The following is a 7,354-nucleotide window of genomic DNA, read 5'->3' as shown; positions in this document are numbered from 1 at the left end:
AACTCTGAATATACTTATTGCATGCATGTGATTCTTTAATATATTTTTATTAGCCCCATAAAAATCTTGTTTTGGTTTTAATACAGAACACAAAGATATTTCTTTTGACAGCAATTAAATGGTCCTATATGGGACAATTTCAATTCAAGAAATATTCTTGTGTATCAGTGCTCACCAAGTTTAACAAGAGTAATGGGACTAAAATGAGACAAAAAACTAAAAAGCTACAAGAAACAAGCTGTAAGACAATTTTGCTTTCTTTTCCTGTTTGTTTCATCCTCCCAGTCACAGATATTTTTCCCATATAGAATATTTGGAGTTACTTAATTCCCAGAAAACATAATTATTGATGGCATAGGGTTGACAACGCTTTTGTACATTCCACATAATGCAACATTTTAATAACAAGTGTTACTTGTTTTACAATGAGTGTGTTTAAATATCAGATGAAATATGTAAGACCCATAAACTTGCACTGGTGAAGCTAAAGCATGCTGCAGGGATGTTACTGCCATAGTTAGAAGATCTGCTTGTAATCCAGCATAATTGTGAAAAAGTTAGATATTAAATATCTGATTTTTTCAATTATTAAAACAATGTATTGTTAAAAAATATATATCTCAATAATGTTCCCACACAACTTACCATTCAAAGCCATGACGATGGCTGATATTATCTTATTTACCTACTCATTTTCTATTTTACCCCACTAAAAAGTACACTCCACGAGGCCAGGTAATTTAGTTATGTTGTTGCTGCAGATCCCAGGTGCCTGAAACAGTACCACAAGAAAGTGAGAGTCAATAATTATGTGTTAAATGAAACAGGAAATAAATGAACAATTGAATTCACATGTTTTGCTCATTAAAATTTATAAACTCCTATAGTCACGTCTATCTACGCTGAATTCATTATACTATGGTACTATCATTGTGTATTAAGTTTATATTAATTCTAATTGTATGCATATCAATAAAAATAAAATTGTCTTTGAATATTAATATTTCTTAATTTTGTATTCAAATCCATATTATTGCTTATTTTTATTTCAAATCTTGTTTCTATTCATTCTTAGATTATTAGTCATTCTTTATGTCCTGTATTTTCTAAGCATTAAGATAAAATTACGTTATTTCTTTTGTCTTCCACTCTAACTCTTTAAGACAACTCAAATCTAGGGTTTTGTTTTTAAAGTTTTCAATATTGACGTAGCATGATGTAATTCTAAAAATAATATAAATATCTTTTGAAATGAATTTAAAGTCTTCTTGATTTTTTGAATAACTGAGTTAGTATTTTCATAAATGTGAATATTTCAAATTTGATAAAATTTTGTGGAATGATGTTACCAATTAATATTCTTTAGGCATATGTAGATTTGAGGAATTATAATATACATTTTTACGTAAATTAATAATAAATATTAAATATAACATTAATGTATTAATAATAAATATTAAGCGCCAAAATCTTCCAAAAAATGGCAAGAAGCCCAGCAAAGTAGGAAATCAGCCTCCCAGCTAAGTTGGACTATATTAACTCATCACAAGTTTACATGGGGATTCATGAGTGAGAATAAATAATTGGTCATTTAGGCAATGGAGAATTCAGAAATTATTGCCAAGAGTGGGGTTCTCTTTTTCATTCCCTATAGACCAGTGCAAAAAAAAATGTTTAATAACATTAATGGGCCAAAGAAAATATTCTTCTCTGCAAGTGGGGAAATAATTGAGTATTTAGCAACGATAATCTAATCTATCATACTTTGCTATTTCACAAGCACATCTGATTATTTCAAAGGAATTTTGTATATTCAGCGTCCAGTAGAGGTAGAAAAGATAGAACATGATAGCTATTAAGTAGAATGTTGAATAGTATAAAACATAGTGGAGAAAGGCTGTGTCAATATTCAGGTTTCTACTAGTATTTCTTCTCTGAATATAGCATATAAGGAAACAACTCTATATGTTTCTAATACAACTGGATGACTGCATGGAACAAGACTCAAAGGAAGATTCAACTTATATTACAAGGGACAGATACATTACAGAAGCTCACAGAAATAAGTAAGAGGTACCAAATTTTCTCATCTGTTCATCCATAGCTTAAATTACTTTAAACAGAAATTTTATGTATATATGATTATATATAATTAAATATATGTAATATATATACACACATACATTAGTTCTTGTATGAGTTTATATATAAATATATATTTACAAATTATAATTTTTATAATTTTAAGATTTTATAAATAAATGTATATATATTAAATTACATATAAATATATATTTATATATAAATATGTAATTATATATAAATACATATTTATATATAAATATGTAATTATATATAAATACATATTATATTATACACATTATATACATATATACACACATATATGCATATATACATATTATACACATTATATATTATACATTCTATATGTGTGTGTATATATATACACACACACACACACACACACACACACACATATAACTAGTTATTGTATGAGTTTGATAGGGCTGCCATAACAAAATGTCACATACTAGGTGGCTTAGACAAGAAATTTATTTGCTAATAGTTTTGTGGACTAGAAGTCCCCAACCAAGGTATTGCTAGGTTTGTTTTTTACTGAGGCCTCTCACCTTGGCTTGCAGATGATCACCTTCTGGATGTGCCACCACATCCTCAGTCTGCGTTTAACCTCAGTCTGTGTTGCCTGTGTCCTAATATCCTCTCATAAAGACACCAGCCATATTAGATTATGGCTCACCCATATGACCTCATTTTACCTTAAGTACCTTTCTACAGGGCCTACTTTCAAAGAGAGTCTCATTCTGAGCTACGAGATATTTGGGCTGCAACATATGAATTGGAGAAAGGAGATACAAAAGTTCTGTTATTAAATATGCTGTTGTTAAACAGTAAATAATTATGAGAAAGGCAATCTAGTGAATCAATAATTATAGAAAACCACATTGAATGTGGAGTAGAAAACACCTCAGAATCATAGGGATTATAAGAATGGGGAAGGACAACATGCAAACCCTAACTATTGCATTTATTTTTATAGCCCTGGGCCTTATAATATTTAAAAAAACAAATGTAGATATATTTTAAATAGTCAGGGACATTGTGTGACCCATTGTTATGTTTAAACAACTCCGTATGTTTCTAATACAAAGGCTCTCAAACATTTTTGTTCCAAGAATCACTGGGAAATTCTATGAAAGGTTTGGACTCCTCCACTGCAACCTTAAGCTTCTCTTTTCCATTACTGGTTTGGGGCCTAAGTATCTGCATTTTAAGAAGCATTTAAGAAAATTCTGATAGAGTTGATGATGGAGCACATTTTGAGACACACTGGTATAAACAAAATGTAAATTTTGTCTTTTTATTAAAAGTTTTAAAGCCCTGCTCTTAGGAAGGAGAATGCTGTCTGACTAATTTAATTAGTCCCAAAGACTCTTCCCCTTACTAGCTTTCTGAGTTATGTGAAATTAGTCACTCTTTGTCCTTGAAATTCCCATTTGTAAAACAGCCATATTAATAATACCTGCATTAAGGTAATGCTTCACATGTAATAATTGTTCAATTAATCATAGCTATTATCATATGGAGAAAGGTAGAAGATGTCAAAGCCAATAAATAGTTAGGATATAGCAGTTGCTCATACTCAGAAAGAAACAGATACAGTATTATAAAATATTCAATTAGAAAACCAGAAATCTGAATGTAGCTAGAAAAAAATTAAAAAAAAAACAGAAATGGAGTAAGGTGGAAAAGGAGGAGTGTGGAGCTACAGTGGGTGTTAAGAGATAAAGGATATTAATTTTCATTGAGAATTTTTTGGATACCAAACTCTTTGGCATAGAAGAAAGAAAGAAGAAAGAAAGGAGGGAGGAAGGGAGGGAGGGAGAGAGGGAGGGAGGGAAGGAAAAAAGGAAGGAAGGAAGTTTAAAAAATAAGAAAATAAAATAAATAAATATATATGTAGGATTCAGTCCCTATTTTGCCCACAGCGAACTAAATCTCAGAGAGATTAAGTAATTTATTAATACAAACACAAAATACTGATAAGGAGTAAATGAGGAACTCAAAATTTTGTCTTATTGTTGCAAGAATTACCACCACTGAAGTAAATGTCTGTGCAATAACTACTTTACTGAGGCTCCCTTCTGCCCTGTAGTACCAACAAAATCTCATCAGCAGTGAATTTCAAGTAAATTTTGAGTAATTGCTGAAAGGCCAAAACTCTTGTTGCCGAAGTCTCTGAGTCACACATTCCTCCAGCCTTCTCCAACTGTCAAGAAGCATGAAGGAGCAAATAAAAATTAACACACTTTCTAGACGGTATTTGATAATACAAAACATAGTAATATAAAATGTATTTATAACAAAATTTGGAGACACAGTGCATATTTGTTAAAATATCTTTTTTTTTTTTCCTGTGGGACCTCAGTCATTTATGGCTTTAAAAAATAGTTTCTGTTTTGTTTGGGCACTATAGTCTAAATAATGCTTGTAAATCTTGCACAGCAAATGGTCCCAGCAATGAAATTATTATGAAAAGTATTATGAAAGTAAACCCAGCAAAGAAATTATTAAAAGTTAAACAACGTTTTGTACTTTGAATGGGTTGCTCCACTTCACTTAGCAATTGCTGAATCCCTTATCAAATGAGCTACAGTGGTGAAAGCAGGGGACCAAGGAAGAACACAGCGCTTGTAATTCATTCCTTTTGTTATTTAATATTACATTAACAAGAAATTCCATGCCTGGATATTTTAAAACATCACTATATTATTGTCTCTCATGGATCTTTGAGTATATTGGTCTCAGACAGAAGTTCTTGCTCCAAATATCACATGTAGTTGTTATCAAATGTCAATTGGGTCTAGAATAGTCAGAAATTTGGATGAACTGGACCAGTTCAAGTGTCTGGGACCTCAGCTGGGAAGGCGGCGGTGATTCCAAATTGGTTGATCAGCTCTTTTTCTTAACATTTCTTCGTCATACAGTCGGCTTAGTCTTCTGCACAGCATGAAAATCTCAGAGTAGTCAAGACTGTTTTATGGAGACGGGCTTCTCTACAGCATGTGTTCTGTAAGAGAAATCAAAAGATACCAAACCAATTAAGCCTTGCTCCTGAAAATGGCACAGCATCCCTTTCTTCCTATTCTACTGGTCAAAGCAGTCATAGGCCCAACTCCTAGACTCTGATTCAAGAGAGCAGAGAAATGGTTTCCACTTCTTGAGCATGAAGATGGGAGATATCATTGTGATTATCTTTGGCTGGATAAAATAAGACAAGCAGAACTATCATAAGAACTATGAACCAATGAATTTGCTAATGGAGTCAGATGTTACACAATTGAAGTAGGATCCAGGGAAATAAAGGCCCCCAAAAAGAGATTAGAGAAATAGAATTGTATGGAATTTTCAGGAAATATTGATGCTCATTACATCTAGCTTTTAGAGTAGCAGCACCATAAATGGGGCTGGTGTTGAAGTCTGTGGAATCATGTTGGCTCTTTGCTCTTTGTGGTTACCTTACTTCTTAAGTTTGCATCAAATCATTTGGAGAATGAACTTGAGTTTCTCTTAGTTAGCATAGCTAACAGTCAGGAAGTAGAGTTGGATGCAGAGCAGTTAAGAGCAGAGACAAATTGGGAAAAATCTGCATCACTCTATGTGTATTTCCAAGGCAATATTTTCATCTCAAACCTAATGCCCATTTCTTCACTGCTGTTTCCCATTTAATAATTCTTTATAAGTTGAAATCATATAGAAAAGAGGTTCCGAGGAAATATAATTTCCATCATAACCATGTTGACCATAGAACATTGCAGCATATATTTAGTGACTTTGACTGGGGTTTGTGATCGCATCTACAAGTGCCAACTACTTAAAGAGTCTTACTTAATGAATGAGGTTCATTCAATAAGTAACAACTTATTTATTTGAGATGGACAATTATACGTTAGTGAAGTATCACAATAATAATGCAGACACATTAATTATCAGTGTATGGTCCACCTCCCTGGTAAATTATGTCATGTAACTTTGTGTTGCTTTAATATTAGTTGTCTACCTCTTCATTCATTCCAAAGACATTTATTTATTGAGCACTATCAATGTTTCAATATTGAGATATTGAAATAGTTTACTTCCTTATTTTGTGCAGATTTTGTATTGCTGAAAGCCAGTTTTAATCAGGAATTCATATATTTGCACTGAGCCATGATATTGGGAAGGACTATAAAAGGTTATTCAGGCAAAACTAATCCTAAATCACTGCTTTTCTTCATATTTCCCCCATGTAGCTAGTACAATCAGCATTGGTGCAATGTACCAACCTGAATGATGGCATGTCAACTTCCATTAATAGCTGAATTGATATACAAAGTTTCTGGGGAGTGTCTACATTAGTCCTGGAAGTAGATTCAAATATGTTAGAAAATTGTTTCCCATTTCAATCTGATTTCTTTAAAACTATGTGATTTAACATCTTGTAAATGCATTAGAGCTATGAATGCTATGAAGGAAAAAAACACATTTGTAAAGATTTCTTTGCCTTACTTTGTCTTGGTTCGTAAATTGAAATTATTTCAGCTTTTAGGAACATAAATGATTTGACATTTTGGTATTTTATTTTCATCACTAATTTCCCACTAGCAAACCCCCTACATGAGCAAGACAGAAAGATCATGTCACTCTCCTGTACAAATAATTTCAGCAAACTTGGAGAATAATTATGAGCCATATTAAGCACTTCTTTTCTTCCCCATATGATTGATTATCCACAACATCCTCGATTAGAAAACAGCTTATTTCAAATTCAAACAAAGCAACTACATTGAGTTAGAGTGAGAATACGAAGAGGAAGAGAGAGAAGAGAGCACGTGCTTCTTTTTTCATAATCATCTGTCATTCAGACATTAAACTATTGGGTCTTAGGTTTAACCTAAAAAGGATTTGTTTTCCAGTTACTTTCTATAAAAACGGTAGAGGCTATGTCACATTCCATGTGTGGGTGATTTTTTCCTTCTAATCTCAAAAATGTTTTAATTAAATCTGTAACATGACTGTAAAATTAAATAAATTTCAGTTTTAATATCATCAATTCTGAATTGATATAAACACAACCTTAAGTGAACATATTTTCAGGAAAATGTATTTTAAGGCCTGATTTAGTAGTCATTTAAATACTAACGCTGTTTTCACAAAATTATCTTTATTTCTTCTTCACAATTGATCCATGCATCCACAATTTTATTTACTGTCATTTTAACCTTCCCACAGTTTTTTCTTATAAAATTCCAATTTAATTCCAAGAAAAGGAAAA

The 7,354-nt window shown here is 31.9% G+C and overlaps 1 long non-coding RNA gene across 1 annotated transcript; it reads right to left on the bottom strand.

The window, feature by feature from the left end:
* Nucleotides 1-4,737: 4,737 nt before the first annotated feature.
* LOC124900831 (uncharacterized) lies at nucleotides 4,738-6,441 on the bottom strand. Its single transcript, XR_007058422.1, has 2 exons — nucleotides 6,366-6,441; nucleotides 4,738-5,110 (listed from the first exon to the last, which is right to left on the bottom strand). It is a non-coding gene; the product is annotated as an uncharacterized LOC124900831 (long non-coding RNA).
* Nucleotides 6,442-7,354: the final 913 nt, after the last annotated feature.

The sequence above is a fragment of the Homo sapiens genome, chromosome 4, assembly GCF_000001405.40.
Source record: "Homo sapiens chromosome 4, GRCh38.p14 Primary Assembly".
In the NCBI taxonomy this organism is placed as follows: domain Eukaryota; kingdom Metazoa; phylum Chordata; class Mammalia; order Primates; family Hominidae; genus Homo; species Homo sapiens.
The sequence above is the reverse complement of the archived record's forward strand: the minus strand, read 5'-3'. Positions and strand labels throughout refer to the sequence as shown.